The 18771-nt window shown below is 40.7% G+C and overlaps 1 protein-coding gene across 1 annotated transcript in view; it reads left to right on the plus strand.

The window, feature by feature from the left end:
• The window catches only part of PHLPP1 (PH domain and leucine rich repeat protein phosphatase 1), a 264893-nt gene that overhangs the window by 127899 nt on the left and 118223 nt on the right, over positions 1-18771 (plus strand). Inside the window, exon 4 of the mRNA NM_194449.4 lies at positions 16996-17162. Within this exon, the coding sequence (NP_919431.2) occupies positions 16996-17162 (167 nt within the window). The remainder of the gene's footprint in view (positions 1-16995; positions 17163-18771) is intronic.

Raw genomic sequence — 18771 nt, forward strand, 5'->3', positions numbered from 1 at the left:
TCATTTGATTTTGGGAAAATTTATAGTTTATTAATCAGATGTGTTCTACCAAGATAGGCTTTTATATACTTATTATTTTTAAACTTTAGCACTTAATATTGCTTACCAAAATAATACCCAAGGCAGTCTCTTTAGAGTTTTTATTTTGGATGTGTATTAGTGGTAGACACTGTGGGAGAGCTCTTTTGGGAGGATTACTATATTGGTTGTAAATTCATTCCTAAAATATTAATGCACAGCATGCTGTAAAAATTGAGTAAACCTCCTATTATATACAGTGTAAAAAACGGCTCTGTTTGTTCAACATAGGTACATGCATCCAGCATGTTTTCAAAGTGGTTAGAGGGGCAGTGAAGTGAAAAGGCTACGGCTAAGCTGTGGGAATAACAAGAACGTGCAGAAGAGCTCCTATCAGATATATGAGTAACTTGATGGAAATGCTGACCTGGATATCCATCTTGATGGTCCACTTTTTAAAGTGCATTCATTGTGGATATGTTGATTGATCCTATGAATTCTTTTCAAAGTTAGGCTTTCATGTGAATCTGTAGCATGTCTTAGTTTTAATTTAAAAGTTTAGTGACTTCTGTAACACCATATTATTCTACTTTAAAGTCTGCTTCTTGGCCGGGCGTGGTGGCTCACACCTGTAATCCCAACACTGTGGGAGGCTGAGGCAGGCAGATCACCTGAGGTTAGGAGTTCAAGACCAGCCTGGCCAACATGGTCTCTACAAAAAATACAAAAATTAGCTGGGCATGATGGTGGGTGTCTGTAATCCCAGCTACTCAGGAGGCTGAGGCAGGAGAATCGCTTTTGAACCCAGGAGGCGAAGGTTGCACTGAGCTGAGATTGCGCCACTGCACTCCAGCCTGGGCGACAGAGCAAGATTTCATCTCAAAAATAAATAAATAAAATAAAAATAAAGTATTTTTCTTTATTCCATGGAAGATTAAAAGTGGATTCAGGTCAGTGACTTAGTGTTGTGTCCCTTTTTTTCTTACTCTTTATTACAGAAAATATCAAATATTCTGAAGTAGAGATAATTGTGTAGTAACCCCCACACACCTGTGACCTGGCTTCCACTGTTACCATCTCCTGGCCAGTGGGCTATCGGTATGCTCCCTTTCTCTCTGGATTATTACAAAGCAAACCCCAGACATTATTTCGCTCACAACTATTTTCACATGTGTGTATAACTCTAGAAGATGAGGACTCTTCTTACAATTACTCTTTTTACAACACCATTATCTATATGTGTGTGTTTTTTAAAGGGTGGACAGTTCAGATAAAGATTAGAGGGTTGATTCAGGTATCTTATTCCTGAAATAGTGATGTAGCATGTGGTACCCAAGAAAATATGCAACACTTGTGGAAAAGGGCATATTGTGAGCTACGCTTTTAACTTTTTATTAGACAGATGGAATGCTCTCCAATATTGATTAGCTAGATGAAAATGAGAACAGTTTACTACATGGCACATTTCTAAGTTCAGCATTTTGAATCTGAATAGTAACATGACTGAATTGAAAGTGATGGAGCCCTGCAGTTAGGGACACGATGTCTAATCTTAGGCATTTTATCTTCAACATTGTCCCAGTTCTCTTGTGTAGGGAAAAGGAAAAGGCACAGCATGACCTCTTCCAAGGACCTCAAACCTGGCCAGTTTAGTTGGTTATAACATGGTGACGATGAAAACAGCATGGTAAATTCAGGCCTCCTGGAGGGCCATGAACCTGTCTACATGTCTGTTTCTCTGTGTTGATCAGTGGCTGACAGTTGCAGGTGACTGTGACTGTCACAGTCGTTATCTCTCCTGCTGTGTAGCTCTCAGTATTAACCATAGTGTTTAATTCTAGGCCATTGACTTGAGGGAAAAAGTCATTGCAGTGAACTTCTGGTTGCCGTGATTTGAGTGCACCCTAAACATGCACAGTGTAGGCAAATCGGAGCCACATTTCATGCTAAACGATCCCATGAAATGATGAGCAAACATCACTCTTTTAAAAAAGAGTAAGACACATGGTGAATCACAATTGAACTTTTGGTTTCATTTGCTTAGAAACAGTGTCTTACTGTCTAGATTTTACTCAAGGAATACTTAACTAATCAATTGAGTCAAATCATTCTAGTATAACAAGATTGAGGTTTCCAACATATCGATTTGTGTTATTAGGTGTAATTACAAGGAACCCTTTAATATGACTTAGACGTCTTTTACCCATATTTTGCCTCTTAACTTGAAGTGTAGTTCAGGAAGTCTGCTGCCTTTTGTTAGCATGGTCTGCCACTTGTCCTTTAGGGATTGTGCTGTAGTTTGTAACTTTGAGGTTGTAATGATAAGAAGCTTTGCTATCAGTACTGTTCTACTGAGGAGTCAAGGGCTTTTCTGGAAACCCTCAATTCACATTTTACACCCATTTTTTTGGATGAAGAATCAAGGGCCCTTTGATCTAACAAGCCTACCATAGAATCTAAATGGAATGAAGGGGCTGGGTGCAGTGGCTTATGCCTGTAATCCCAGCACTTTGGGAGGCCAAGGCAGGTCAATCACCTGAGTTCAAGACCAGCCTGGCCAAGAAGGTGAAACCCCGTCTCCACTAAAAATACAAAAAAAAAATTAGCCAGGCATGGTGGCAGGTGCCTGTAATCCCAGCTACCCGGGAGGCTGAGGCAGGAGAATTGCTTGAACTCAGGAGGTAGAGGTTGCAGTGACCCAAGATGGTGCCACTGCACTCCAGCCTGGGCAATGAGAGCAAAACTCCATCTCAAAAAAAAAAAAAAAAAAAAAAAGATGATAATAAATGGAACTGTGGGTCTGAATGACATGAATCCTGAGAAGATTGCTCTTGTACCAATTCTGTAGTGACAAGAAAAGTTTGTGAGAAAAGTTTGGAAATTTAGTGTATGAGTTAGTATATGAGATATTTGGGTATAGGAAGACTTCAAGGAGGCAGTGGGCAAGCTGAGTCTTTTAAGGATAAATAGGTGTTCACCATGAAGACAAGAAAAGTAAATTCATTTCAGGAAGGATAGGTCAAGTATGTGCAGAGGCAGTTTGCAAAGATACCCTGTAAAGATCATATCACACATGTCTGAGAAGTGTGAAAAAAAAAAAAGCTAAAGTAAATGAATGCTGGCCAGTAAGTTTCCTGCTAGTTCCATTTCATTTTCTTGTAGAAATATGACTGTAAGTTACCCAGTATTATAATTAACTTTCCAATATAGTAATGGATTTGTTATATAAAAAATTACATTATGGAATCTTTGTTACAGTTAGAAAGCAACAGTCTATGAAGTTAGAGAACTTAGAACTTCTTCTTTGAATTTAGGGAGAAGGTAACATTTTGGATTGTATTAAGTTTTTGTTACACATAAAATTAAGTTAGTAGAAAATAATAGAATGATCTCTTTACAGATATAATTATGCTTCATCTATACCTGTCTTATTTCCTCACTGCTAATCCCTTCTATTCCTTTTTTCTTTTTCCTGTAGCGGCTCTTGTTTCTGAAATCCTAGTTAATATATTCCTGAAGAAGAGGTTTTCACTTCAATTCTAAAGTTATTTCAGTTTAGAACTATTTAATTTTATTTTCTCTAAAGTTTTATAATCCAGTTTTAAACAAATGGCAAAGATACCTAGTTTGCTTATCGTCTCATAACAAAAGAAGCGTGTTTTTGTGAAGCAGTGCTCATTTGTATAATTAGACTATTACCATTTTAAATGCATCCCATGTACTTCCATCTTCCTTCCTCCTGTCTTCTCATCTCTTCCCCCTTCTTTCTCCAGCTGTGTTGGAATTAGCCGTTGTTGTTCTCACTGTCCAGCAAGGAGAGATGGGGAGAGGGAGGGAGGAAAGAGAGGACTCTTCTGTCTTTTCTTTGTGCCAGGCACTAGGCTCCATGTGGATTGCCAGGACCTCAGCAAATGGAAACGTGTTCCTCATGTGTTCTTGGTGGAACTCTGGAAAATTTTTCCCAGGAAACCTTAAAGAAGTTTGGTTGGGATCTGTACTTCTGTTATTAGTACTTTAAAATACTTGCGGGTTTGATCTGTATAATGTTATCTTTAATAAAATAACTTCTAGGGCTCAAGGGAGGAACTTACAGCTGCATTTTAAAGTTGTAAAATGTTGTTTTAATATTGGTAAGGGCCCTTGTAAGGTAGTTGACAAGAAGCGAATATTAATATTAACTGCAGTTTTCTAAAATAATTGTGCTACCAGTTATTTGACATTTTCTTTGAAAGCATTCTTTAGTTTAACCTTGAATTCTAGTCTTCAACAACAAACGACTCTTAGTTCAGAGACTTAAGATTTGGAAAAGACCAGACTCTCACACCATCCCACCCATGTCCGTAGGCATTTCCAACATCTGTAGTGTCTGATGTGACAGTTTTTCCTTATAAGTGAGCTGAAGTCTGTTTCCTCTAGCTTTGACTCATTGACCCGAATTTTTCTATCTGGTAAAACGCAAGAAAATTCGACTCCCTTTCCTATTTAATAACCTCTCAATATTGTTGAGTTACCAGGATCTGTGCCCTTGCACTGCCCTGTCTGCTCCTTAGCAGTCTATTTTCAGCAGAAGTATCCCTGGCAATTCCAACAATTCCTTCTGTTGCTTGGTTCTCAGATACTTTATCTCATAGATTTTTTTGGGTGCTCTGATTTGTTGACATCCTTGCAGATCTCATCTGATCAGCACAGAGTATGTGACCGTTATTTTCCTTGCTTTAGACATTATGTCCAAAGTGAATTAGTTACCCATTTATTTGTGAGGTCAGCCCTAAAAGAAAATATTTTTGCTCTTTTGCTCCCTCAACTTGTTGACATATTTTCTAAACAATATAATTATTTACTGTATCAAATTGATGCTATAGTGACAACAATAATGCACATAGTAATAACTAACATTTTGGCAACTTTTACCATTTGGCAAGCACTGTTGAAGATACTTTGTAGTAGCCCTGTGAAGTAGGTGCTGATAACAATTCTATGAGGTTGGTTTTTTGTTGATTTTTTTTTTTTTTTTTTTTTTTTTGAGACAGGGTCTCACTGTGTCGCTCAAGCTGCTGTGCAGTGGCATGATTACAGTTCACTGCAGGCTTTGACCTTCCAGGCTCAAGTGATCCTCCCACCTCAGCCTCCCGAGTAACTGGGACCACAGGCATGCGCCACCACTCCCAGCTAATTTTTGTATTTTTTGTAGAGATGGGGTCTTGCCATGTTGCCGAGGCTGGCCTTGAGCTCCTGGGCTGAAGCAGTCCTCCCACCTTGGCCTCCCAAAGTACTGGGATGACAGGCACAAGCTACTGCGCCCAGCCTGTGGTTGGTTTTTAATATCAGAAGATAATATGTCTTAGATATTATTATCCCCATTTTGCAGATGAGGGAACTGATATATAAAGCGTTCAATTACTGCTTTATGCATTAAGTTCTACTACCTTACTCCTTTTACTTATTTGTACTTCCAGTGTTTTACAGTGGTTGGAAGAGACTGAAAACAAAGATTTAAATAATAACTAAGATTTACTGAAAATATCTCAATAAAGTACTTTATATACAGAGTTGGCAGCAGAATCCAGGCAGCCCAGTACTAAGACAAAAGGTAGTTTCTCAGGCAGTCTATTTATTGGAGTATGCTGCTAAAAGACACTTGAGCATAGTCACTCTACATTGCTCATTGATCTTCTTAAATGATGACCAAGAGTTATTTAAGAAATCTGAGATGCTTTCTGAGTCATTCAAAGCAGACTGAACTGTTTTCAATGGTGAGGGAACTACTGTTGTCTGATTCTTTGCAAACTGGTCAAATATTGATATATCAGGAATTTAGCGTATATGATTAACCAGATATCTGTATCTGGTCATGTTATATTTTAAAGTTAAATTCTTTTAATCTGAGAGTTTAGCCCAATTTAAATATATATCTACCAGGCGGCCAGACACGGTGGCTCATGCCTGTAATCCCACCACTTTGGGAAGCTGAGGCGGGTGGATCACCTGAGGTCAGGAGTTCGAGACCACCCTGGCCAACATGGTGAAACCCCATCTCTACTAAAAATACAAAAATTAGCCAGGCATTGTGGCACATGCCTGTAATTCCAGCTACTCAGGAGGCTGAGGCAGGAGAGTTGTTTGAACCCAGGAGGCGAAGCCAAGATCGCACCATTGCACTCCAGCCTGGATGATAGATTGAGATTCTGTCTCAAAAAAAAAAAAAAAAAAAATCTACCAGGCATGGTGAATGGTGGTTCATGCCTGTAATCCCAACACTTTGGGAGGCTGAGTGGGGAAGATCACTTGAGGCCAGGAGTTCAAGGCAAGCCTGGGCAACATAGCAAGGCCCTGTCTCTACAAAAAAAAAAAAAAAAAAAAAAAAAAAAAAAAAAAATATATATATCCTTTAAAGTTTAGTTCCCATTACGTACTTAGGATTTTTTGAGTCCCCAGTATTTTTAACCCAGAGTATTAAATTTTCTACGCCTACTCCGAAGGGTTAAATTCTTCTACCCACTGGTCTAATTTATTATTTTATAAAGTAGGAAGTAGTGGAGCAATTGAAAAAACAATCTATAAACTCTGTATTAAACATACTGAACCTTGTATATTAGACTTGGAAATTAAACATCAATTTTTTTTTTTTTTTTGTATTTAGAAACAAAACAGGCCGGGTGTGGTGGCTCACGCCTGTAATCCCAGCACTTTGGGAGGCCGAGGCAGGTGGATCACAAGGTCAGGAGTTTGAGACCAGCCTGGCCAACATGGTGAAACCCTGTCTCTACTAAAAATACAAAAATTAGCTGGGTGTGGTGGCAGGCACCTGTAATCCCAGCTACTCAGGAGGCTGAGGCAGGAGAATTGCTTGAACTCGGAAGGTGGAGGTTGCAGTGAGCTGAGATTGAGCTACTGCAATCCCGGATGGTGATGGAGCAAGACTCCATCTCGGGGGGGCGGGGGGGAAAACAAGTAGTTCATTTCTAGTAGTAGAACCACTTGAATAGTATTTGTATTATGTATTTTAATAGAAAGCTAGAGTGTAAGTTTTTTTGTGGTTCATTTCTCCTTTGTCAAGGCGATGACACCTTTGGGGGAATGCTGCCATGACGTTCAGAAACATTCTCAGGTAGTAACATTTTAAAGAGATTGTTTATACATATTTTGCCAATAAGGAACTGAGGAAGGAACTCTGAGTTCAGATTTGATCTCCACCCAAGTTGAACTCTATTTTTTTGTTGTTACTGAGAAACACAATGGGGTTTGTGTGTGTGGAAGGGAGATAACTGTTAGAGTGACACTGGTGGCTCATGATTTTGGAAAGCTGTTAGTGACATCTCCTCTGACCCTATACTGTTGCATCTGACTCCTAAAGAGTCCACATTTTCACTTTTGGCCGCATGATGAGCTCACTGGACAAATGCAGCAGAAGTGCCTGTGAATACGTGGCTCATTTTGTCAAGGGAGGGGACTGTGTCGGCACTGATGCTGTCGACGTGGAGCTCTGAGGATTGTTCTTGGCCCTGTGTGTGCTCTTATGGCACTGCTGCATCCTCTTTAGTGAATTACAGTTATTTAGATGTGTGTGTCCTCAAGAGGCTAAGCTTTTGGAGACAAAGACTGCATCTCTCCAGTACCTGGTATAGTTCCTGGTTCATAAAAGGCAAATAACAAATGTTTATTGAATGATTCATTCAGGTTAGCTTGATGGCCCCGCGCATGCTGCCTCCTCATCCCCATCCCCTCACCTCTGCTGGCAAAGAGAGCTGAGGATACCTTGGAGGATCTCTTGGTCTGGAGTTCTCTTGATTGGCTTTTTAAATATTGTTATAGCTTGGTCCTTGAACAGTGAGCCAGGGATTTTGTTTTGTTTTGTTTTCTTCCCCAGCCTGCAGTTGTTTCCATACTCTTATTTTTGGGTCTTTTAACTATATTTTAACAGGTACCTCATAGCCTATCATTTTAAAATCATAGATCCTACCTCTCCCACATGCTCTTGCCCTCAACAGAATACCATCTCTCATATTTATTTATTTATTTTTGAGATGGAGTCTTGCTCTGTCGCCTAGGCTGGAGTGCAGTGGTGCGATCTTGGCTCACTGCAACCTCCGCCTCCCGGATTCAAGAGATTCTCTTGCCTCAGTCTCCTGAGTAGCTGGGATTACAGGTGTGCGCCACCACACCCGGCTAATATTTGTATTTCTAGTGGAGACAGGGTTTCATTATGTTGGTCAGACTGGTCTCAAACTCCTGACCTCATGATCTGCCTGCCTCGGCCTCCCAAAGTGCTAGGATTACAGGCGTGAGCCACTGTGCCCAGCCCATCTCTCATTTTTAACCTATTGATGATAGCCTGTCTGGATTTTCCTGTTGTATTCATTGATTTGCTATGTCATTACCTCGAATCATTTTAAATGTTGTATAATTTGCGTAATCTTTTTTCTTTTCTTTTTTTTTTGAGACAAGATCTCCCTCTGTCACCCATGCTGGAGGGCAGTGGCACAATCATAGTTCACTGCAGCCTCAAGCTTCTGGGCTCAAGGATTCCTCCCACCTCAGCCTCCCATGTAGCTAGGACTATAGGCACGTGCCACCACACCTGGCCAATTTTTTAATTTAATTTTGTAGAGATGGGGTCTTGCTGTGTTGTCTGGGCTGGCCTCAATCTCCTGGACTCAAGTGGTCCTCCCGCCTCAGCCTCCCAAAGTGTAGAAATTACAGGCATGAGTCACTGTGCCTGGCCCTTATTTTATTGCTTATATATCTTTTTCCATCTCATTTAACCATTTAAGAAAAAGAAATGGTGAGATTCTGAAATTCCAGGTAGAATTTCATAAGTATAAAACTGGTAGCTTTGATATGCTTTTATTGGAACATTATGAAGATATATGATGTAATTAATTTTTATTTATTTATTTATTTTTTGAGATGGAGTCTCACTGTGTCACCCTGGCTGGAGTGCAGTGGCCCAATCTCGGCTCACTGCGAGCTCCGCCTCCTGGGTTCATGCCATTCTCCTGCCTCAGCCTCCCGAGTAGCTGGGACTACAGGCGCCTGCCGCCACGCCCGGCTAATTTTTTGTATTTTTAGTAGAGACGGGGTTTCACTGTGTTAGCCAGGATGGTCTCGATCTCCTGACATCATGATCCGCCCGCCTCGGCCTTCCAAAGTGCTGGGATTACAGGCGTGAGCCACCATGCCCGGCAGGTTGACAGCAGTGTTTCACTTCACACAAGCAGAATTATTTGTGGTATTTCAGCTGCTTTGACCAAGCCTTTTAGAGTCATTCTGGTTAATTTTGAGCATGCCATGCACATAAGAAGGATAAATACAACTTTACTAAAGTATAGAGGGGGCAAAATCATCACATTAATGTTACTGTGAACTTTCCCTTGCCTGTGAAAGACGATTATCCACTAACTGAACCAAGAAGAGTAATGGGAATGATGCAGAGTACTGTCCTCTTGCAAGGGAAGATGAGAATTTTGAAAGCGTGGCAGGGATAGGGTAAGGATAGGACAGATAGATTGGTTTACAAATGCAACCCAGCTACACTCAGAGGAGGGACGTTTTTGTCATAAGGGTCCTAATAATAGGCAAAGAAATGACTTAGGAAAGTGTCAAGCTGAGTTATATGTTAGAAATGTGTGGCCACCCATTGAGTCATCTGAAAATTTTGTTGTTCACATTAGCATTTTTTATAGTGCAGTGTTCTTTAGAGGAAATATTTTGAGGACCAAATGAACCCTCCTTCCCTTATGTATATTTACAAGTCATTTGGGAAAAAAAGAGACCACCTGAGCAGGTAGTTGGAAATTATGTTCATTTTGATGTATCTCTCAGGGTGTGTCCATCGTGGTAGAAAAGTCCCATTTAATTTACTAACTCAATTAGCCTTAATTTTTTTTCTTTTTTCTTTTTTTTTTTTGTTCTTGTTTCGTTTTGTTTTTGAGATGGAGTCTTGCTGTTGTTGCCCAGGCTGGAGTGCAGTGGCGCAATCTTGGCTCCCTGCAACCTCTGCCTCTCGGGTTCAAGCGATTCTCCTACCTCAGCCTCCTGAGTAGCTGGGATTACAGGTGCCCGCCACCCCACCCAGCTAATTTTTGTATTTTCAGTAGAGATGGAGTTTCCCCATGTTGGCCAGGCTGGTCTCGAACTCCTGACCTCAGGTGATCTGCCCCCCTCGGCCCCACAAAGTGCTGGGATTACAGGCGTGAGCCTCTGCCCCCAGCCTGTTATTGTTAATACAGACTAAAACTGACTTTCTATGGCACAGTTACCTTCAACTGATCACAACTTGAATCTCTTCGTCTATAGTTCATTGATGGTCTGGCTAATTGCAGTTTATCCTTATAACTGCTCAACGACGAGAGCATTGGCTTACATCGTAGTCTTTTTTGTTTTATAGACTTTTATTGCTTGGAGTGGTAGACATTGCTGTGGAGATACTTGGTCTACAGAGCCTCTCCTGATTTTTTAAAATGAATAAAATGGTATTACTGCAGCAACTTGTTAAGGTGATCAGGGCAGGTCTATTAGTCTATAAGACAGGACTTAGTCTATTTTAGAGATACGGAAACTTGAAGGACAGGTAAGCGAAGTGACTTATTCAAAGTCACGTTGCTAGTAAGTAGAACTGTTCCTACCTACCCCACATACTGTTAAGCTGGTGCCCTTTCTCCTGTATGTCAAGTTGTGTGGACCTCACCTTTGTGCCTTCAACTATCTTGTCTGTGGTTATAAGTACAGTAGCTTTTGCCAAAAGGAATTTATATTCTGAGATCCTTTAGAAGCTTTCTGTAACAGAGATTTGAGGCACTTTCTATATATGCCTGTTTCACTTCCCAAATATCTATAACCTCTTATACTTTTCCTGTAACCTTTAAAATTTTGATTAGGTGCTCACTGGATGGCATCACTGTTGCCCAGCTGGATAAGTTGTGTGGGATTGGAGTGGGCAGAGCCTATGATGTCAAGGAATAATGCCCCATGGGGATTCACCCCTCCTCGGAAATCTGTATTTGGTCAGCAGATGGTCTCTACTGCTTCTCCCGAGGAGGACTCACTGTCTCTGACCACCTTGTCTTCATTTCTAAGGCTTAAACATATCCTGAGGAGTACATCTAATTTTCTTTGCTGTAGTTATGTTATTTTATGATGGAGATTAGAGGAGCCTCCCTTCTGATGAGATCCAGGTCTTGACCTGATGGCATAGAGTTAATAGTACTGGCTCTTGTTCAAACTCTGATCCTGCTACTTTTTTTTTTTTTTTTTTTTGAGATGAAGTTTCGCTCTTGTCACCCAGGGTGGAGTGTGATGGCTCAATCTTGGTTCACTGCAATCTCCGCCTCCCAGGTTCAAGTGATTCTCCTGCCTCAGCCTCCTGAGTAACTGGAATTACAGGCACCCACCACCACGCCTGGTTAATTTTTGTATTTTTAGTAGAGAAGGGGTTTCACCATGTTGGCCAGGCTGGTCTCAAACTCCTGACCTCAAATGATCCACCCACCTCGGCCTCCCATAGTGTTGGGATTACAGGCATGAGCCCCTACACCCAGCCTGATCCTGCTGCTTTTTAAACTAAATGGCCTTGGGCGCACACTCTGTGACTCAGTTTAATCTTTATCTTTGAAACAGGGGTAAGTTCTTACTGCACAGGGTATTGGGAAGATTAAGCTAAATATTGTATCTTAAGCTCTTGGAAGAGTGCCTATCACAAAGAAGGCACTACTTAAATGTTAACTATTATTATTGTTACTTGGAAAAGGAAAACGCTAGAATAATAAAGCCTACTTGCTCTGAGGTGTGCACATGTGGTTTTTTGATTAATTTTTTTTATGTATGTAGGTCTTTCTTATTTCAGGCAGGATCTCAGTTTTAATAGCTGCTGTGTAGGTGGGTCACAGTTTCTTTGGATAGCCCAGCTGGTAGTTTTCTCATTTGGGAATCAAGCCATACCTTCTAAGTAGAGTGCTTTCCTGGTTCTTAACTCTTTGTGATAGAGCCCTGATGTGCCCAGGTTGCTCTGAGTAGAAGCACTTAAATCTCCCATTCTGTTGCAGCTTATGGGACTGGGCAGTGGTGTAGCTAGTGGTAGCTTTTGTGGTCACCTATGCAGCTCACTGCCTAGTGGCCATATTAACATGTTGAATTTATGTTCTCACGATAGACATTCCTAGTTCTACATAGCTCACACAGGACTGCCCTTGCTTGTAGCCTCGTTAATGTGGTTTCCTCCTCCTTGTTTCCAGCAGAAACAGCTTACGGTCTAGAAGGAGGAAAGGAAGCCAATACAACTTGATGTTAAATCATTTTCTCTTAGTTGTCCAAAGGGAGTATTTAGTGGGATGCTTCATTTGAAATGGAATTTGTCTTCTTCAAAGTGGTTGCCAAATGAAAGGATGCACTAGATGCAGAGGCCGCCTGGTGAGAAAGGAGGAGGTATAAGGTCGTCTTCTGGCCATTCTTCCAGCAAGATGTTTTGAGGGTCCTCCCAAGTACTCAACGTGGGGTTATATCAGTGAACAAAATAGAAAAATCCTTTCCTTTATGGAGCTTACAATCTAGAGACAAAGATAGAGAAAAAATAAGAAAATTCCATGGTACAGTAGGCCCTTCTTACTGCGAGTTTCCCATTTTCAGATTCAACTAACCGGGGATCAAAACCTGCCAACACGGAGGGCTGAGTGTACTATGGCATTTTATGTCAGGGACTTGAGCATCCGTGGATTTTGATACCTGCTGGGGTCCAGGAGCTAATCCCCAGTGGATATGGAGCGCCGACCATATGTTGGTGATCACCTCACACTTCTCAGAACCTTTCCACACATCCCATTTCACTCACCTTAAAAGCCAGAGTCCTTACAAGGCCTGAGGGTCCCACAGGATCTGCTGCTTACCCCATATCCCCTGCCCCCTTACCTTCTGACCTCATTGCCAGTCACTGTCTCCTTATTATCAGTGTTCTCAAGTCCCTCGGACATGCCAAGTGTGCTCCTTTTACAAATTTGAGACAGGGTCTGGCTGTATTGCCCAGGCTGGAGTGCAGTGGTGTGATCAAAGCTCACTGCAACCTCGACCTTCTGGGCTCAAGTGGTCCGTCCACCTCAGCCTCCCGAGTAGCTGGAACTATAGGCACGCACCACCACGCCCAGCTAATTAAAAAATTTTTTTATTAGTAGAGTTGGTGGTCTCACTATGTTGCCCAGGCTGATCTCGAACTTCTGGGCTCAAACAGTCCTCCCACCCCAGCCTCCCAAAGTGCTGGGATTACAGGCATGAGCCACCATGCCTAGCTAAGGCATGCTTCTCTAAGGGTCCTAACTCTGGGTACTTCCTCTGCCTGGCAGCATCTTCTTCCAGATAAATCCTATCTGCCAACTTCTCCGGTTTTTCCTTTCTAAATGTGGTCTTTTCAGTGGGCACCACTCTCACCAACCTATTTAAATTACAATCCACCACCTTCCCAGCAGTCTTGACCCCCTTTCTCAAGCTGTTTTTTTTTTCTCTGTAGTGCTTACCAATTTTTTTAACATATAATTTATTTATTTGTAAAGAAAGCTTAATAGGGGAGGGATCTTCATTTTGTTTTCTGAAGTATATTAAGGGCTCACCTAGAACGGTAATTGGCACCTCTAGTAGATATTCAGTAAACATGTTGAATGAATGAAAATGAAAAAAAGTACAATGGAAAAAATAAAGAAGGGTTGCATTAGTTTCCTGTGGCTGCTGTAACATATTAGCAAACCCTTGGTGGCTTAAAACAATAGAAATTTATGATCTCACGGTATATATTGCACATATAACTATTCATCCATCTAATATATGGAGGTGTGTGTGTATTGTATTAAAAATTGTTTTCATAAATGGAATGTGTCATGCTGCAGTTTGCATTTGTATCAAGTCAGATTGATACATATGGATCTAGTTCCTTCATTTTAACTGCAGCTCTAAGCAGCTGGTTCTCTTTCTTTCCTGGTTTCAGAATATGTAAATCCCAGAGAAGTCCTCTGATTAACCTAGCTTGGGTCCCATGCTAGCACCTGTTGGATCAGTCTGTGGCTTCAGCAGATAGGACACTCAGATTGCTCAGACCTGGAGTGCATGCTTACCCACGAATCCAGAGCATCTGGGTACTTTGTTTGCAGTTCCCCTTAGGATCATGAGTTTGAAGGAGAAAGGATTTGGGGCAAAAAACACAGATTTCTACTGAGGCTTCAAGTTTGGGCTTGGATATTACATCCTCTGGGAATCCTTTTCTGACCCCTGGGATTCTGTTCTGTGTCCTTGCACTTCCTATTCTTGTAACAGTTATCATGTAGTATCTTAATTACCCTCTCCTCTTGATGTGTACTCATTCAGGGCAGAGACTGTGTCTGTCTTGTTTTCCTTTTGTGTCTCAGGAAATAAAAGGCCTGCCACACACCATTAAGTAGATTCTCAACACATATTTTTGAATGAATGATTCCACTAGCTAGCAGAGGTTTCAAACTCACTTTCTATAAACAGGTTCCCATCCACTTCCTATGAATGCCGTAGGAATCCTGTGTAGCGTGGTGCTTTTGCACCTACTTTCAGGCCCATTAACATTCTATCTCTTTTTACATCTTTCTTTATATGAGTGGTTTGGCCCTGTTTGGAAGTTTCTTTTTCTTATTTAATGGTGAAAATTCACAGAAAGATAAAATTGGTAAAATGCAAACTCAGACTTTCTCAGTAAAGTCTTTAGAGATAAGTCCTGCCCAGCCTTTCTCACCCCAGTATACCTTTAGCTTTCATGTGTGCACAGTAGTTTCTCCTAAGCTCAAATATTCCATCAGCAGAACCTTTTTTTTTTTTTTTTTTGAGACACAGCCTCTCTCTGTTGCCCAGGCTGGACTGCAATGGCACGATCTCAGCTCACTGCAACCTCTGCCTCGTGGGTTCAAGCAATTCTGCTGCCTCAGCCTCCCGAGTAGCCGGGATTACAGGCACCCACCACTACGCCCAGCTAATTTTTGTATTTTTAGTAGAGTCGGGGTTTCACCATATTGGCCAGGCTGGTCTGGAACTTCTGACCTCAAATGATCCACCTGCCTTGGCCTCCCAAAGTGCTGGGATTACAGATGTGAGCCACCATACCTGATCTAGCAGAACATATCTTAGGCAGATTTACTTCTGGATACTTTTAGCATCAGGAGAGTATGAATTTTAGTGGATATAAAATGTGAATGAAGCTGGGTATGGTGGCTCATGCCTGTAATCCAGCGCTTTGGGAGGCTGACGTGAGAGGATCAACCTAGCCTAGTAGTTTGAGACCATCCTGGGCAACATGGCAAGACCTTGCCCCTACTTTATTATCTAAAAATATTTTTTTTAATAAAAAATAAAATGTGAATGATTTGATTTGGAAATGGTAGTGTTAGTAGTAGTACTAGTAATAGTAATAGCAGTTAACATTTATTGAGTGCTTTTTCTGTGCCAGGCATGTAGAAGTAGGTACCATCTTTATACGTGTTATACAGATGAGAAAACTGGATCTTAGATCAGTGATCTATTCAAGTTATCTCAGCTCCTGAGTGGTGGTGCTGGGCTATGAATCTGGACACTGAACTCAGAACCATACACCTAAGGACTACGTTCTACTGCCTTGTGTAATTAGGAACAGAAACCTGGGGTTTGGTAAAAGAAAAAGAGATCAGACTGATCACAGAGAAGCAGTGAAGTTTCTGCCCTAAAGCTTTGGTAAAGATAAATAGGGAGAATTAACCAAAGTTTTAGAACTGTACTCCCATTGCCTCTGTGAGGAGAGAAAACCAAGATGTGTGGAGGTGGGGCTGAAGCCATGTGCTTTAGCATAAATTGGCACTGTGTTACCTACAATATTGGGAAGAGCATTTGAGAAATACAGGGTGGTCAGTGCGTTTTCTGCTTCCCACATAAAAGTTGGTCTTTAGCCCTGAGATCCTGGCTGTGGGAGGAGTCATTTAACCAGGAAGGCATTGAACATCTGGATAAATATTTAGACATAAAATAAGTTTTACATAAAATACTTACATGAAGCAAAGCACAATGAATTTGTAAGCATTTCACTGAAACTGGGAGAGGCAGCCTGAAAAGTTTGTAGCAGACAGGCAATGGAATCTGATTCTACTGTACCATTAATTGAAGATGTGTACAAGGTCAGTGTAAAGGTCTTGTTCTTTTTCTTTATTTGTGCTATTTTAAATCAGTATATACAATGGCTTTTATATGTTCAGTTTAGATCTTAGTATCTGTCTCTTGACCGTGTATTTACTCGATAGCTCTGAATTCTCTTTCTGTCGGAGAGAATTATTCCTTATGTTTTCAGGAATAAAACTCCTGCATTGGAGGAGATTACTGATATCACTAAACCTGATGGAATAATCTATGTTCTTTCCAGCCTGTCTCCTATGCTAGGTTACTGTACATACCCTCCAGGCAGGGACATTTTCCTGCTTTTATAAAGTACTTGGCTCAAATACTAAGTACAGACATGCATCACTTAATGACAGGGATGTATCTTGAGAAATGTGTTGTTAGGCAGTTTCTTCATGGTGCAAACATCAGTGTGTACTTACACAAACCTAGATGGTGTTAGCCAACTACACACCTAGGCTATTGCTCCTAGGTTACAAACCTGTGTAGCATGTTACTGTACCGAATACTGTGGGCAGTTGTAACAAAATGGTAAATATTTGTGTATCTAAACATAGAAGGCAGTGTGTTGTGCTATGACATTATGATAGCTGCCATATCACTAGGTGATAGGACTTTTTCAGCTTCTTTATAATCTTGTGGGACTGCTGTGTGTGGTACGTTATTGACTGAAAGGTTGGTATGCGGCACATGACTGAATACTCTGTTGGTTTATATTTGGACTAACAGTGCTACTTTCATAGAATATCTGTTCCAAATTGGGATTATCTTATTTCTATCCATAGAAAGTAGTTATAGGATAAGTGGATGGTATTAAAATTAAGTTTTATCCCCCTTTAGGTTGCATCCCAGCGCATTAGCTCAGTGGACCTCTCGTGTTGTAGCCTGGAACATCTGCCTGCCAACCTCTTCTACAGCCAAGACCTCACTCATCTCAATTTAAAACAAAACTTCCTAAGGCAGAACCCTAGCCTTCCAGCTGCCAGGGGGCTTAATGAACTGCAAAGGTAAGCCTGCAGAAATGGGTAGATCATTAGGAAGGGGTGGGGGCAGAATGAACTTCTGCTTGTTATCTCTTGAATATTCTCATGAAAAAAGCTAGTGTGTAAACTTTCTCCTTCAGATAACAGGGTAATAGGACTTTGTTTATTAGTGAAGACATTACCAATTCTCAATCTGAAATTTTTTTTAAGGTTCTTGCTTTTGAAACTAATGATTTATGATATTTATTAACTGGATAGAGTTGTGTAAGAACAATTCTCCTTAAACAACTTTTATTCCTATCTAAAAATGCATGTGCAAAAAATTAATAACATTTGGTGTGTTACTTCTGAACTTCAGGTGTTTGTTCAGATTAAATTGTTTCTTTTGAAATTTATGAAAGGTCATTTTTTCCCATAAAAAGATATTTCCTTAGAAATTTAAGAACCAGCGTTTAAATCAACTTACATCATGTCATCTGGGTGATTAGTGTGTGGGTTTCAGGAGTCACATGTTAAATAAATAGAACCTGCTCCTTTATTTTTTATTTTTTTGAGACAGAGTCTTGCTCTGTCTCAGGCTGGAGTGCAGTGGCATGATCTCGGCTCACTGCAACCTCCTCCTCCTGGGCCCAAGTGATTCACCTGCCTCAGCCTCCCGAGTAGCTGGGATTACAGGCGCCCACGCCCTCTTAATTTTTGTATTTTTAGTAGAGATGGGGTTTTACCATGTTGGCCAGGCTGGTCTTGAACTCCTAACCTCAAGTGATCTGCCCTTCTTGGCCTCCCAAAGTGCTGTGATTATAGGCGTGAGACACCACGCCTGGCCTAGAATCTGCTCATTTAAACTAGAAGAGAGGGACTTGACTTGCATGTCTCCAAAACAGATTTAAGAATTTACCACATTCACTTCCTTTCCTCTTTGGAGCAGTGATCAGTCTTCATTCTGTGGTAAATTAAACCTTTGATACTTATATATTTGTTGCAAATATGTAAGACTATGTAACTGCAAAGAATATAACTTTTAAATAAATAATTGCTAGTTCATTTGTTTTTACATGACTGATATGATCAGGAATTAAAATGTGATAACCATTGTGATTCTGTTTATGGTTTTTAACATCCAGAAAAAATAATCCAATAGTTGCTTATAAAGTTTGTGGATGTAATTGGAAAATGGAAGAGTATTTTAATTGTCTTTTCAGGTAATTGTGAATATCCTTCCTTGATACTATACCAAAACTTGACAAGTGGTCATTTCTTAAATGTTAGTTCTAAAATGGAATCTAAAACCCTATTCGTGAGCTTTTTGAATTCTTTAACGGTAAGATCCATTGATCTGACTTGCAGTTTGATTTGACTCTTTACCCATGCATCACTTTATTGCATTAAGTGTTGGTCATTTGGAGAGTACTACTCCGTTGTGTAACACAGATACTCCAAATGTTAATGTATTTTATTATGGAATTTTAAGAATTCACATTTGTTAATATCACCACTGATCTTTTTTTTTTTCTTTTTTTGAGATGGAGTCTCACTCTGTCGCCCAGGCTAGAGTGTGGTGGCACAATCTCGGCTCACTGCAACCACTGCCTCCCGCGTTCTAGTGATTCTCCCGCCTCAGCCTCTGAAGTAG

Source organism: Homo sapiens, chromosome 18 (assembly GCF_000001405.40).
Source record: "Homo sapiens chromosome 18, GRCh38.p14 Primary Assembly".
NCBI lineage: Eukaryota > Metazoa > Chordata > Mammalia > Primates > Hominidae > Homo > Homo sapiens.